The sequence below is a fragment of the Homo sapiens genome, chromosome 22 (genome assembly GCF_000001405.40).
Source record: "Homo sapiens chromosome 22, GRCh38.p14 Primary Assembly".
In the NCBI taxonomy this organism is placed as follows: domain Eukaryota; kingdom Metazoa; phylum Chordata; class Mammalia; order Primates; family Hominidae; genus Homo; species Homo sapiens.
Genome location: NC_000022.11, coordinates 27,549,990 through 27,565,801, shown reverse-complemented (window position 1 = coordinate 27,565,801; position 15,812 = coordinate 27,549,990). Strand labels below are relative to the sequence as shown.

Here is a 15,812-nt window from a genome sequence, read left to right as displayed (position 1 = left end):
TCCTTTCTCCCTTCCTTCCTTCTGTTCATCCATACACCCACCCACCCACTCACCCTTCCTTCCATCCATCCACCCATCCATGCATCCATGCACCCATCCATCCATCCATCCATTTATTTTTCCTTCCACCCATCCCTTCATCCATCCTTCCACCCCTCCATCTATCCATCCATTTATTTTTCCTTGCTTCCATCCATCCATCCATCCATCCATCCACCCATCCATTCATTCATCCACCCCCATCTATCCATCCATTTATTTTTTCTTCCTTTCATCCATCCATCATCCATCCATCTATCCATCCATCCATCCATCCATTCATCCATGCAATCACCCACCCACCCACCCATCCATCCGTCCACCCATCCACCCACTCACCCATCTATCCATTCATCCATCCAATGTCAATCAAGCACGTGCTTGGCAATAACCTCCCTTAATCGCTATGAATGATTTCTTGGGGCATCAAAGGGGACCCCAAGGCTTTCCCCAGGGCTACCACATCCTGGGGCTGACCAGAAGCCATCATGACAAGACACTGGAACCATGTTGAAGGCCTTAGTCTAAGCTTTGCCAGGAAGAGGCAGGAGGCAACAAACTGCAGGACATCTCCCACCTGGCATAGGGATTGGAATGTGGCATCAGAAGATGCGCTTGGAAGATGGTGTGTTTGGGGGGTGGAGAGAGTGGCTGGCATAAGTAGTTCACTTCCCTCCCAGAAACCCACAGGCAAACTCTCTCCACCAGCCTATAATTCCAGCTCACCTGTCAATGGGCACAGGGCATGGAGCCAATTCTTTCTGAGTCTCATGAATCACAGCACTCAATTCTTTGGTACTAATAAAATGCACTCTCTCTCAAAGACTTGACTGAATGAACCACAAGTCCATCGAGATCCTCAAGTCTCCTCTCTCCTTCTCTCCCTCTCTCTGAGTCTGCACTCAGGCAGGGCCTTAAATTGCTGGCTGAAAAGGTGATGTGCCCTTGGGGGCTGCAGGTCTGCTTGGCAGGAGCTGTGGGTGGGGTCCAGGGCCCTGGGTTCAAGACCTGCCACCCTCTGGTCCTGACCTAAGGAGATTGTTCCTACGGCTTCTGAAGTCTCTTCCAGCCTGGCCCAGCAGGGGCTGACTTTCTCTAGTGCAGAGTGGTTAGGCAACCCCACTTATCTGTAGATCTCCAAACGTAGTCCTTGTATTCTAGACATTCACAGTCTAGAGGAAAGACAGATGTGCCAGCAGCTGTAATTCACAATCATAGTGATGCAGGAATATTAGGTGAACCAAAACTGTTACTAGTTTCCTGTTGCTGCTATAAAAAATGACCATAAAATTAGTGGCTTAAAAATAACAAAAATTAATTTTCTTACAGTTCTAGAGGCCAGAACCAAAATCAAGATGCTGGAAGAGCTGTGCTTTGTCCAAAGGGCCCAGGGAGGACGCTTTCTGGCCTCTGCCAGCTTACGATGACTCCAGGCATTCCTTGGCTTGTGGCCACATCACTCTAGTTCCACCTCCATCTTTGTGTAGCTTTCTCATGGGGAGCTTCACTGATCCTGAGCCCAGGATGAGGCACTTTGTGTTCATCATCCCTAGGAATCACTGAAGACAGCTATGAGCCAGGTGGTGCGGTGCCCGTTGCACAGAGGAGGAGAGCGAGGCCCATGTCCTGTCCTCGTGGGGTGCTCAGCTGCAGCAGCCCGGAGCCCTGAGGTGGCCACGAACTCTGGCCAGGGGGTGGCAGGGGCACTGTATGCGTTGTAGGGCCTGTTTGGGAAGACATTGAAGAGTAGGCGCCGGTGAGTCAGGTTATCTCCAAAGAGAAGTCAAAGATGAGCTCTGGGTGGAGAGTGTGACCCTGAGTGGCCCTCTTCATTTTACAGATGGGGACACTGAGCCTCAGAGAGAAGAACGATGTGGCCAGGGTCCCGCAGCGAGGATGCGGCAGAATCAGGATTGGAACCCAGACCTGTCTGACTCCAGAGCTTTCGGGGACTAGGATTCTTTCTGCACGCCTTTCTCTCTCGCCAAGGTATGGACCTTCCATAATGATGAACGAGCGCCGACATTTGCCAAGTGGCTGCTCTGTGCCTGACCTGGAGCTCAAAGGTCTGGAAGAGACTCCAGCTGTGGCCTTGATGACCAGTGCCTTGGGGAGGGCAGAGAGGGGGGAAGCCCCGGGAGACGGTGCAGCAGTGGGAGTGAGTGTCAGCGGAGACCCCTTTAAAACCACTCCCAGGGCAGAGGGATGGAGGCAGGAGAGGCCCCTGATGACCCTGGCTGGAGCCACCATTGTCACTCCTCTGGATTATTGTGGCAGCCTCCTTGAAGGCGTTCCTACCTCCATCCTTGTCTCCCAGTAGCCTATCTTCAGCTCCAGCAGCCAGAGGGACCCTAAGGCATGAGTCTGCACAAGACATCATCTGCTGCACACCTTCCCAGAACCCCCTCTCACCGACAGCGCCAATGTGCTCCGGACACCCACACTTCCCTGCCTTCACCCATCTCTCAGGTCCCGCCCCAACACCTCAGCCTCCTCCTGGCTCCCTGACACCTTCTGCCTCAGGCCTTGCATTTGCTATTCCCCCTGCCATGACTGTTCCAGGTCCAGACATCTGCAGGGCCATCTTCCTCATCTCCTTCCCAATGTGACTTCTGCCACCTTCTCCACACGGTCTCCCTGGCCACCCTCTTAAGTTATTATCCTGGCCCCAGGACTTCCCATCGCCCTTCCCTGCTTTATTCCCTGCTTGACGGCACTTTTCACCTTCTGCCATATCACCTACTTATTTATTATCTTCCTCCCCTCAACTAGAATATAAATTTCGTGGAGGCAGCAAGTTCTCTCTGCTGCGTTCACTGTTCAACATCCAGGAGGCTTGGCACCTACAAGGCATGTAGTGGACCTCAATCCATCTTCTATGAATGAACAAATGGGTGTCAATCACAATTTTGGGGGTTTTGGTTAATGATCGAGGAGCCACATAGGAGAGTGGTTAAGGGGACAGACTCGGGGTCAGCTAGACATTAGATCAAATTCCAGTGGTGCCACGTATCAGCTGTGTGACCTGAAGCAAGTGACTCAGGTTCTCCGTGCCTTGATGTTCTCACCTGTTCAGTGTGGATGCTAGCCTCACCTGCCTTGGGAGGAGCTTGTGAAGACTGAGTGAGCCATTGCATGCAGGGCAGGTAGCATGAGGGGAATACAGTAGGTGCTCACTCAGTGACAGACCTTATTACTACAGATGCATGGGAGATTCTTGGAATTTCAGCAAAGGGGCTTGGAAGATCATCTGACCTTTCTTCCCCTTGCAAGTGGGGAAGCCAAGGCATATTCCAGAGCCTGGGGAGGGTCAGAGCTTTTCTTTCTTTTTTTTTTTTGAGATGGAGTCTCGCACTGTCACCCAGGCTGGAGTGCAGTGGCGCGATCTCGGCTCATGGCAACCTCCGCCTCCCGGGTTCAAGTGATTCTCCTGCCTCAGCCTCCCAAGTAGCTGGGACTACAGGTGCCTGCCACCACGCCCAGCTAATTTAGTAGAGACGGGGTTTCACTGTGTTGGCCAGGCTGGTCTCGAACTACTGAACTTGTGATTTGCCCGCCTTGGTCTCCCAAAGTGCTGAGATTACAAGCATGAGCCACCGCACCCAGCCAACTTTTCTTTCTACGTTAAAAGCCTGAACCCCCAGGATTCTCCAGGGTGAAGTCGAAGCTTGCAGCCAAGCCCTACTTCAGGGGCAGAATTCTCTGCTCTGGGCTGTGTGGAGCAAACACAACTGGGCCAGAAAGGCAGCTATATTCATCGGCGTTCTCTAGAAAGCCAAAACCAATAGAAGAGAAAAGCATAAACACATATATGAATATATATAGAGATTTTTATATAAAATATATACTTAAAAGATTTATATATAGAAAGAGGTTTATATATAAACATATATGAGGAGATTTATTATAAGGTTTTGGCTCATGCAATTGTGGAGGCTGAGGAGTCCCGGGGGGAATCTGCCATCTGCAAGCTGGAGATGGAGGAGGGCCAGTGGCGTAGGCTGAAGGCCTGAGAGCCGATGGTATAGATTCTTGTTGGTGTCCAAAGACCTGAGAACTTGGAGCAAGAGGGCAGGAAAAAGACCAGTGTCCCAGCTCAAGCAGTCAGGCCAAAGGAATTCAGCTCTCCTCCACCCTTTTGTTCTATCCAGGCCCTCCCCATCCTCATGGGGCAGGGCCATCTTTACTCAGCCCGCCAATTTCAATGGCAGTCTCTTGCAGAAACGCCTCGCGGACACACTCAGAAATATGTTTAGTCCTGAAAGATGAGCCCTAATTCCACCCAGCAGCTGGCACATCTGGACCGTGACCACTGGGGCTGACCCTTGGGGCTGCTGTCACGATTATGTCCTTGGGACACCTGGGAGGTTCAAGCCACTGGCAGCAGCTGGGTTGGACCAACAGCTGGTGAGTTGGGCTGGTTAAAGGCTGGCTGGGGTCATGTGCATTAACAATACTTTGCAGCTTGTGGGATCCATAAAACCTCACCTGCAAGGTCCCAGGTAACCAGGTAAGGTTTCCCTGCTCTGTTCATGTCCTCCTGCTTACCACTGCAGACAGTGAGTGATCTTGTTAAAGCACACATGAGATCAGCCCCTGCAGTGCCTTCTCCCTCTCCAGAGAAGGAAAACTAGACTCTTCCCCACGCTTGGCCCCCCAGGCCCCTCAGGATCAGACCCCTTCTTCCTGTGGGACCCGAGGTCTTGCAACTCTGTCCTCTCCCACTCCCTTGCAGTGACACCAGCCTTGTCTCTGTGCCACAAGCATGCTGAGCTTGCCTGGACCCCAGGGCCTTTGCACATACTCTCCTTTTCTGTGGAACCTCCTCCCCCCAGACCTTGACGTTGCCCACTTGCCTCCTGCTGCTACCACCTCCTTAACTCCTGGCAACCACTAATCCGTTCTCCATTTCTATAGCGTTGTCATTTTCACAGTGGAATGTAAATGGAATCATGCAATGTGTAACTTCTATGGGTTTTACTTTTTGGATTGGACATAATTTTCTATTGATCCATCCAGGTTGTCGTGTCCTCTTCAAACCTCCCCTCTCCAGATAGGCCCCTGACACCACTCCTGCTAAGTCACCTTGTTTTGTTGTGAAATTTTCTTGTTTATGTGATAACTGGTTTAACATCCAACTCCCCTAGTGGAGAGTGAACTGAGCCTGTTGTATCCATGCAGCCCCTCCCGCCTTGGTAAAAATGCCCCACACAGAAGCAGTGCTTAATAAATATTAATTTCTTTGCTGAGTGCGTGCTCAGTTGCAGATGTGGACACAGAAGCTCAAAGAGGAGAAGGGATGTGTCTTGTACTCCACTGGGCAGTGAGTGAGTGGGCGGTAGAGTCTGGAGCAGGAGGCAGGTGCCCGATTCCCCACATGCTGGGCGCTTCTCCTGTACCCTATTTTGGGCTTTCCCATAACTCTCTGCCAGTCTCATCGCAGCCCGCCGGGAGGTGGGGCAGCTGGGTTGGAGAGGTGAGGATGTGGCTCTGTGGCTGAAGGTTTGGGAGGAGGGCGGTGCTGGAGAGATAGCCACCGAGGGGTACGGTGTGGGTATGGGCATGGTGTGGCCCACCCACATGGAAAGGCTAGACAGACCTCAGCACTCCAGGGAAGATGCTGTCCCTTCTCTCTTGGCCTGGCGTGCCTTGTTCACTCACTTGCAGCCTGCAACCCCCACAGGGCCCAGGTGGTGAGTGGCCACACCAGCTGAAAGTACCAAAAGTTTCTGGCCGTCTGGAGCCCAAACATGTAAGCTATGGGAACCCATAGCTGGCATGCCCGCCAGTGACACTAACAGGGCTGGCATGCCTGCCAGTGACACTTCCCAGAGCCTGCACATTCTGGAGCTGGGGAATACCCTGGGGACCCTAGATCCGGTGGGTCTCCAAACTGCTGGTAACCCTGAAAGACGGAGTGGGGGCTGTGGGCCAGGCATTCAGTTCAACAAGAGTGTCTTCGTGTGCACCCGGCACACATATGGGCCTCATAACATTCTACTTGTAGAATGGGCTCTGTGGTTTTTATTTTTATTTTTAAATAAATCTTTTTATTTTGAGATAATCGTAGAGTTGCATTCTGTTGTAAGAAATGATACAGAGATACCGTGTATCCTTTACCTAGTTTTCCCTAGTGATGACATCTTGCAAAAAGTCTAATGTCCCAACCTTGATATTGACGTTGATACAGATACAAAACATTTCAAGATACAAAACATTTCCATCCCTCAGGTGGCCCTTTTCTAGCAGCCACGCCCACTTATCTCCTGCCTCCACCACCTCCTTAACTCCTGGCAACCACTAATCCGTTCTCCGTGTCCATAATTTTGTCATTTTCACAATGGAATGTAAATGTACATACAGCATGTAACTTCTCTGGGTTTTGCTTTTTGGATTGGACATAATTTCCCATCGATCCATCCAGGTTGTCGTGTGTATCGATAATCGTTCCTTGTTACCGCTAAGTCATATTCCATGATGTAGCTGTGTCACAGTGTGTTAACCCAGTCACCTGTTGAAGGGCACCTGGGTGGTTTCCAGTTTTGGGCTATTACGAATAAAACTGCTATAAACATTCATGTACAGGTTTTTATGTGAACATAAGTCTTCATTTCTCTGGGATCAGTGCCCAGGAGTGCAATTGCTGGGTTGCGTGGTAGAATATTTACTTTTTAAAGAAACTGCCAACCTATCTTCCCCACTGTACAGCGTGAGAGGGAGCCCGTTTTCCCTCATCCTCACTGTCATTTGGTGTTGCCACTTTTTTTTTTTTTTTTTTTATTTTAGCCATTCTGACAGGGGAGTGGTGATAGCTCATTGTGGTTTAAATTTGCATTTCTCTAATGGGTCTGCTGGTTTTTTTTAATGTTTTGAACCATGATTGGGTCCCACTGGCCCATTTCACAGATGAGAGAAACTGAGTCCTGGAGACTGCAATAAACATGGATCTCCTAGTTTTCACCCTGATCATAGGCCATTCAGAGAGGAGGGAGATTTTTGAATAGCTCTTTAAAAGCATGCGTACTTTTACTTGGAGGTGTGGAAAGCATCATTCTGGTATTTTAACTGAGGCGGGTGTGCTTTCTCTGATGTCCTGCCCCTCAGGATTCTTGTCCACTTGGAGTGCTGGCTTCAAGCTGTCTCCGAGGGATGTGTTGTCCCCCCACAACGTTGCTGGATGCAGGGACACCTCTTCTTTATAGATCGAGAGCTCTCTTGAGCTGCTCTGAGGGCAATGGTGGAGTCTGGCCAGGGAGTGGGGGCTGCCTGACACTGACCCCCACCCAGTCCACAGAGGCGTTGCATCTTGATGCTAAGGGGGTGTCACTAATCTCTGCCCTGAGAGAGACATGGCCACCAGCGAGGCTCGAGGCTATAGCTGGCCTGGGAGCCACAGGTCAGGGTTGAAGCCCCCCCCAGCCGTGCCCTTCTCCCTCTCCGGGCCCCCTTGCCCTCTGTCCCCCACACTGCCACTATCCATTCCTCACAAAACATCTTCTCCCCTCCTTGGCCTCCCAGAGCTGTTGTGTGTCTTATTTTATCTCATTTTATTTTTGGAGAAAGACGCATTTGTGAGACCCAGGAGGAGGGGAACACGGCATCTGTGAAGGAAGGGCGTCTGGAAAAAGACAACACAGGCGCACACACACACACACACACACACACACACACAATTTTTAAAAGCATGGTAATAAATGCTATTCAAAAAAAAAAAAAGAAAAAAAGTAGAGAAAAACCCACCCCACAATCTCTGAAAAACACAGCCCATTGAAATGACAAGCCGAAAATCATTTGCTAAGCGCCGAAACCATTCCCTTTGTCACCCAAATCCTTCTGTTGACAGTTACCTTTCAATCCCACAATTGTGTGGCAAGGGCTGATTTTTATTCAATGTTCTATTCACCCTCCGTATTAATGAAAAGGGAGGAGGGAAAAAAACTTGTAAGAATGGTGTTTAATAGGCTGATAGACAAGCCGTCTGGATTCCCCAGCCAACCCCCTCTTATCGGTGGCTCACAGTGGGGCTGACGCTGTCTCTCTGTCCTGGCTCAACTTGGCGTACTTGCTCAGTCTTGGCCCCTGCAATAGAAACTCTGGGATGGATGGATTGATTTTCTTTATATATATATATATATGGTTTGATCTTTTCTTCTTTAGGGAGGAAGGAACACACACAGGTCATGACTTCATCCTATGATTCAGATACGTACCCAACAATGTTTATTGAGTGTCTACTGTGTGCCAAGGGTCTCTGCTGGGTGCTGGGGTTGGGCATTGGACTTTGAACCGGCAGACAGATCAGCAAGCCAGGTTGGTCCAGGTGTCAGGAGAGATCATCGTAGGCCCCACTGATGTAGGAGACTGTGGGCCTCAAATCATTTCTCTAAGTTCCCCCAAGGCAGAGGGGCCTGGAAACTGTCTGGCCCCATCTTTGCACAGATGGGTTGTATTTCAGCATCGAAGGAGGAGGCTGCCCTGGGTTTCGTACTCACCTCTCTTCGTGCCTGGTGCGAGGCAGGGGGCTGGACAACACGAACACCCCAGTCAGTTCTGTTCAGAGACTGTATGGGATCTTGAGGCTGGAATCTCACCTCTGCCATTTACTTCCTGAGGCGCCTTGGGTGAGTCGGTTCACCTCTCTGAACCACAGCCCCCTGTCTGTTCTGTGAGGGTAGTGACATCATTGTAGTGGAGTAGCATGGAGGAAAAAGGGAGATTCTGTGAGCTGAAGTCCCTGGCCCATTCTCTTTCTCTCCCTCTTTTACCTCCTCTCTTTGTTTTCTCTCATGGATTCTAGAACTCCATGATGAGTGCTGTGCTGGGGCCAGGTGGAGGGAGAGCTCAGGAAAGCAGAGAGGAGTGCAGCTTAAAGGATGTGTTTCTGACAGTGAAACTGGCTCCCTGGGTGGGTGATGAGCTCCCCACCATCCGAGCGGTGTAAGTGGAAGCCAAAGCCAATGCCAACCTGGTGAGGATGTTCCAACAGTTGCCACGTGGATTGAGGAACCGGTACCAACCTTGCAACCAGCCCACTTCCAGTCCTGCTTTGTTCCCTACACAACCCACTCCATCCCCAGACCCTATAGCAGTTGGCCTCATTTTGCTTCCATCACACAGGCCCCATACTGGGAGGCATCCTTGAATCTTCTCCTACCCACCACCCCGTGCTCGACCTCGGCAACTTCATCTTTAAAACATCTCGAGTGGTGCAGTGACTCACGCCTATAATCCCCGCACTTTGGGAGGCCGGGGTGGGCAAATCGCTTGAAGTCAAGAGTTTGAGATCAGGCTGGCCAACATGGTGAAATCCCATCTCTACTAAAAATCAAAATTAGCCAGGCGTGGTGGTGGGTGCCTGCAATCCCAGGTACTCGGGAGGCTGAGGCAGGAGAATTGCTTGAACCTGGGAGGCGGATGTTGCAGTGAGCCGAGATCGCACCATTGCATTCCAGCCTGGGTGACAAGAGTGAGACTCCGGCTCAAAACAAACAAACAAACAAACAAAACAAAAACACATCTCAAGGCCACCAGCTCTCACCCCCTCCCTACACCTTTTACCTGGCACCTGCAGTGGCCTGTCTCTGCTCCCTGCTTCTCCCCGGGCCCTTCAGTCCTTCCTCTTCACAAAGCAGAGGGAAGCCTTGAATCCATGTGTCGGATCTCCCCCATCTGCTCAGAACTTTCCGATGACCCCCATCTCAAGGCCCTCATAACCCAGCCCCTGTTACCCACAACTACTGCCTGTCTCCCTCCTATTTGCTCCATTCACACCTCCCCGGAACTTTTGCTGTCCCTCGAATATGCCAACTGTGTTCCCTGTGCGCTGGCTGTTCCCTTTGCCTGGAATGTCCTTCCCCCAGGTCCTCACAGGGCTGCCCCCTTCTCCGTTCAAGTTTCTGCTTTAAACACCACCTCTGAGAAGTCTTCCCTGATTCCCCATCTGTCACTACCTAACCCCCTTTTCAGCTTTATCTTCCTTCTCTGCACAAATCACTGCTTTATACCACATCATGTATGTGTTCAATGGATCATTGTCTGCCTCCCATGCTGGCCCATGAGCTCCTGAGATCAGGCATTGTGTCCCCAGGTTCATAAATGGGTTCACGCATAACCTCCAGGCCTGTGGTGGGGCCATCCCTGGATCTCATCCTGGGGCTTGTGTCCACCGACCTCCTGAATCAGAGCCGAGGGGTGATCCCATTATTGCCCCCTCTTTTGAAAAACAACATGAGCTGGGCAGCATTGATGAGTAACAGCCACCCCTTATCCTGACCGCTCATTCAGTCACTCAGCAAACATTTATTGTCCTATGCCAGGCAAGGTGCAAGTGTTTGGGACCCAGCTTTCGGATAAGATGGGCACAAAGCTGACATTTTAAATGGGGAGATTGAGGTTAAAAGTAAAAAATATACATGATGGTGTCAGTGTTTATGAAGAAATATAGAACAGGGTAAGGGATTGGGAATGATGCTATTGTCAAGGGGGCAGTCAGGGAGGACTTCCTGAAGGAGGCAACCATAGCAGAGTTTTGAATGCAGTGCTGCTGACGGGCGCAGGTTGGTGGGGGGACTGGTGAGGCAAGGCAAGCAGATGTCAGTTAGAAAAGGGCCTCACAGGCCCAGGGAGGATTGTAGGCTTGGTCTTTGGTGCCGCAGGGAGATGTGTTAAGGAAAGGATTCAGCACAGTGAGAAGTTTGAGTGGGTGCCCAGGAAATGCTGAGTGAATGAAAGAATGAATGAGTGAGTGAGTTGGTGAGTCAGCACCCTACACATACTGTGCCCTCCTGAAGTTCGATGTCCCACCCTCTTTTATCCCTTTCCCCCAACATCGGCCCCACCTGGCAGGTGTCCCCTTTTGAAAGCACCACCTGCACCATCTTGGCCCCTCTTCCTTCTCTTGGTGCCTCAGCTCCACAGCCAGGATTAGTTCAGCTTTAAACGTGAGCATTTTTAGTGAGCAAAGCAAGAACCCCCCCCCAGGCACACAATGAGCTTCCCGTCCCCTGGCCTCCTTGGATGGAGCGATCATCCAGACAGTCATTTGTGTTCTGGGTTCTGCATGGCCCCTCCCCTCCCCGCCCTCCGCTGTGATTGCTGACGACGCAGATTTTAATATATTCACACTGGCAGAGCTATTTGCATTCAGATACAATTATGAGGCAAGATACGGCTTCCTCAGAGCGGGCCCCAGAAAGGGGAGGAGGATTTGTGGCTCTTAGGCTGGGCTGTGTAGTCCTGGCTGAGCTGAGCCCTGTACCCCTGCTTTCCAGAGGAAATATCCCAACAGGTCTGGCACCCTCCACACCCTCAACCCTGAGCTTGCTAAGATCTGGCTTATTCTGGCTTATTCTCGGGGTAGGAAGAAGTGTTTGTGCTGGTGGAGATGGGGGCAGGGCAGCGTTTTCTAAACTCCTATGTGCCAGACAGTGTGCTTGTCTCTCTGTCTAGGCCCTCAGGAGCCACACACAAGAAGGGGTTAACTACTAAATAAACAAGCTTATGACACATTGGGGCTGCGTGTGATGGCTCTCGCCTGTAATCCCAGAACTTTGGGAGGCTGAGGCTGGTGGATCACTTGAGGTCAGAAGTTCGAGACCAGCCTAGCCAACATGGTGAAGCCTCGTTTCTACTAAAAAATACAAAAATTAGCCAGGTGTGGTGGCCTGCGCCTGTACACTCAGCTAGTTGGGAGGCTGAGGCAGGAGAACCGCTTGAACTGGGGAGGCAGATGTTGCAGTGCGCTGAGATCACACCACTGCACCCCAGCCTGGGCGACAGAGTGAGACTCTGTCTCAATAATAATAATAATGACACATTGGAACACGGGCAAGGAGGGAAATCAAATAGGCAAAGTGACACTCTCTGAGGGTATTTCTTAGATAAAGTGGTCAGGGAAAGTTGACGGCAAAAATGCCCTGAACCTTTCACTCCTCCTGGTAGCCACTGCCCTTTACCGCATGACTCTGCCACCTAGAAGGGGAATCTACTTCCCATCCCTTGAACCTGTGCTTGGCCATGTCCCCTGCTTTGGCTGATAGGATGTGGTATAAGTGATACATGTCCAGCTCTGACCTGAGGCCACAGAGGCCTTGCACATTTCTTTCTTTCATTTTTTTTTTTTTTTTTTAGAGACAGAGTCTTGCTGTTACCCAGGCTGGAGGGCAGTGGCGTGATCATAGCTCACTGCAGCCCCAAACTCCTGGGCTCAAGCCATCCTACCACCTCAGCCTCTCAGGTAACTGGAACTACAGGCACATGCCACCATGCCTGGGTAACTTTTTAATTTATATTTTTTGTAGAGATGGGACTCTCACTACTTTGCCCAGACTGATCTTGAATTCCTGGCCTCAAGCGGTCCTCCTGCCTCAGCCTCCTAAAGTGCTAAGATTACAGATGTGAGCCACTGCACTGGCCTGGCCTTGCACATTTCTGCTTACTCACTTGGAACCCTGTGACCACCTTGAGTATAAGTCTGGGCTCTTCTGCTGGAGGATGAGAAGCACATATAGCAGAGATGAGCTGTCCCAGTTGAAGCCAACCTAGATCAACCAGAACTGGGCTGATCTGCTAGCTAACCTCAAAGGCAGAGCAATCATTTGATGAGCCCAGATCAGTAGAACTGCCCATCCAACCTTCAGCCACAGAAGCTCTGCAGCCATACAAATGCCTGCTCTTTGTAAGCCACAGAGTTTTGAGATGTTTTGTTATGCAGCAGTAGCTAACTGATACAAAAAGTCAGTCTGAGCGGGTGACATTTTGTCTGAGGCCCAAAGGATCAGAAAGTAGTAGTGGTGAGAAAAGCTGCAGGAGGAGAATTCTAGGGATAGGGGACAGCAAGCACAGAGGCTCTGAGGTGGAAAATGCAAAGGCTTGTTTTGGGGACAGAAAGGAGGCTGATGTGGCTTGGGTGTGGTGAATAAGGAGAGTGGCATGGGATGTGGGTGAAAGATGGATGGGGGCTAAATCATGCAACCCTGTAGATGATCCTGGTGTTTGAGGAATAGCTGTCGTGGGTCTGGGTTCTCATCCTACCATGTAGCAGTAGGAGTGTGAATGAAGGCGGCTGCTGCTGTTGCTTATTTTAACAGTGTACATGGCAGGATGCAGAAGAGGCGACATTTACTAAAAATATGATCTTGGCCTAAATGTGCTTAGGGAACCAGTGACTGGTGTGTGTGTGTGTGTGTGTGTGTTTGTGTGTGTGTGTGTGTGTGTGTGCGTGCGCAGAAGGGGATTGTATTAGTCTGTTCTCCCACTGCTATAAAGAAATACCCAAGACAGGGTAATTTATAAAGAAAAGAGGTTTAATTGGCTCATGGTTCTGCAGTCTGTACAGGAAGCATGGTAGCATCTGCTTCTGGGGAGGCCACAGGGAGCTTTTCCTCATGACGGAAGGCAGAGCAGGAGCAGGTGTCTTCCATGGCAGGAGAGGGACTGAGGGAGATGCCACACGCATTTTTTTTTTCTTTTGAGATGGAGCCTCGCTCTGTCGCCAAGCTGGAGTGCAATAGTGATATCTCAGCTCACTGCAACCTCTGACTCCCAGGTTTAAGCAATTCTCCTGCCTCAGTCTCCCGAGTAGCTGGGATTACAGGCACACACCACCACACCCAGCTAATTTTTGTGTTTTTAGTAGAGATGGGGTTTCACCATGTTGGCCAGGATGGTCTTGATCTCCTGACCTCGTGATCCGCCCGCCTTGGCCTCCCAAAGTGCTGGGATTACAGGCGTGAGCCACTGTACCCGGCCACCACACATTTTTAAAACAACCAGATCTTGCAAGAGAACTCACTATTGTGAGAACAGCACCACAGGGATGGTGCTGAACCATTCATGAAGGATCTACCCCATAATCCAATCACCTCCTCTGGCCCCACACTCCAACGCTGAGGATGGCATTTCAACATGAAATTTGGGCAGGCACACAGATCCAAAGCACATCAGGGGTGCATGAGAAGGTACGTGGAGAACCCACACCCTCATTTACTTGCCCCACCCATTCCGGTAGGAGAGTGTGTCAGTGTCACAGGGCTGCCATGACAAAACACCCCAGTCTGGGTGCTTAAACAACAGAAATGTGTTCTTTGGCAGACCCGGAGGCTGGAAGTCCAAGATGAAGGTGTTGGCAGGTTTGGAGATGATCACGTTCTCACTGCGCCCCCAGGAGGTCTTTGCTCTGTGTGAACACAGAGCAAAGGTCTGGCGTCTCTGTCTGTGGCCTAGTCTTCTCTTATAAGGACTGTTATATTGGATTAAGGCCCACCCTGTTGACCCCATTTCCCCTGAATTATCTCCAAATACAGTCCCGTTCTGAGGTCCTGGAGGTTAGGACCTCATCATGTGAATTTGAGGGGGACACAGGTTAGCCCGTCATGGAGGGGTTTTAGCTCATTGCCCCTCCACTCTGGCCACACACCTTTCTGGCATCTGGTTTTGAAGTTTTCCTTCATTGGTGTGACTTCTCCCCCAATGGGTGTTCCCCGCCCTCCACCTGAGATGGGGGAACTTGGGGAACAGAGGTTGGAGGTGGCGTGGGGCATGAAAGGAAGGCTGGAAGGGGAGGTGTGCCCGCCCAGTGAAGTAGGAGCTTCCTGTGTCCCGTGTCACAGACCCTTGGCCTCCACTCTGATTTCAGGGCAGCTGTGTGCACAGACTGGGACATGGTGCTAGCACCCCACCTGAGCCCTGGCATAGCCTTGTTGTCTGTCTCCGGTCTTGAAGGAGCCCCTCAGCCTGCACAGGTGCAGCCTGGCTCTGCAGGATGCCAACTATGGATGGGGAACTGGGATCCTGGATAAATGGCCCAGCCTCCTGTCTTTTGGAGGGGGCAATCCTGAGGCATATTGTATTTGGTTTCTGGGAAGGTCTCCAGAGGAACAGAGCCCTGGGTGCCCACAGAGTCATCCCCCAAATCACCCCTTTCCTGGCTCTCCCTCCTTCCCTGTCTCACTCTCTCTGTTCCCTTGTTGCTTTTTTCTGGAATCTCCTCCCCAAGTCCTCAAGTCCTTGTCTCAGTGACTGCTTTCTTGTGCAAAGATAGGGGCTTCACCCTCTGCTGGGTCAGGTGGAGGCTTGGCTGGGACACCCAGAGGGGAGTCATCCTGAAGCTGCAGGGGTGTACCGTTGGGGGATGCGGAGAAGCCACTGATCAGGCAAATGCGACACTCCCCAACATGGCTCCTGCTGGAAAAAGAGTAAACACAAAAGGAGCACAGCACTCTACGGTTTATAAAACCCTTTCCCTACCGTTGGTCCTGGGCTGTCACAACAACCAAGTGACCTCAGCCAAGAGGCACAGTGCACCTCATCCTCAGATGAGTCCAGTGAGGCTCAGACAGAGGCAGCAGCCTGCTCAGAGACACACGAATTGCCTGGGACCAAGGCCGCCACCTCCCAGCAAAGTGTTTTTTCTTGGGAGATCCTGGGTGCATGCAAAGCCAAGTATCAGACAGATCAGTTTCTAATCCCAGCTCTGTAACCTTGAGCAAGTTACTTCCCCTCTCTGTACCTCAATGTCCTCCTCTCTAAAATGAAAGTTATCGTGAGGGATTAAATGCAATGAGTGTGTCCCTGGAGCGGCCTCCCACTGGCCTCCCTGCCTCCCGCTGTCCTCCCCAAATGCCTTCCCCAGAGTAATTTTTCCAAACAGCAAGTCTGGCTGCCTCTCCTGTGTGTAAAACCCTCCAGTGGCCCCTGGGGTCTTCAGGACAAGAGCAGACTTGAGCACAGCTAGCCAGCACTGAGCCCAGTGAGCCAGGCCACACTCTCCCGCC

At 51.1% G+C, this 15,812-nt stretch overlaps 1 long non-coding RNA gene across 1 annotated transcript in view, besides 1 other annotated feature; it reads left to right on the top strand.

The window, feature by feature from the left end:
* Window positions 3,829-4,328: an enhancer, noted in NCBI's record as "H3K4me1 hESC enhancer chr22:27957435-27957934 (GRCh37/hg19 assembly coordinates)". NCBI's record gives its function as "activates a minimal SCP1, AML or CMV promoter by ChIP-STARR-seq in naive H9 embryonic stem cells {active_cell/tissue: H9 hESC(naive)}" and the evidence as "EXISTENCE:reporter gene assay evidence [ECO:0000049][PMID:30033119]".
* The window catches only part of LOC105372981 (uncharacterized), a 56,572-nt gene continuing 45,071 nt past the window's right edge, over window positions 4,312-15,812 (top strand). The window contains exon 1 of the long non-coding RNA XR_938124.2: window positions 4,312-4,446. This is a non-coding gene — a long non-coding RNA (uncharacterized LOC105372981). The remainder of the gene's footprint in view (window positions 4,447-15,812) is intronic.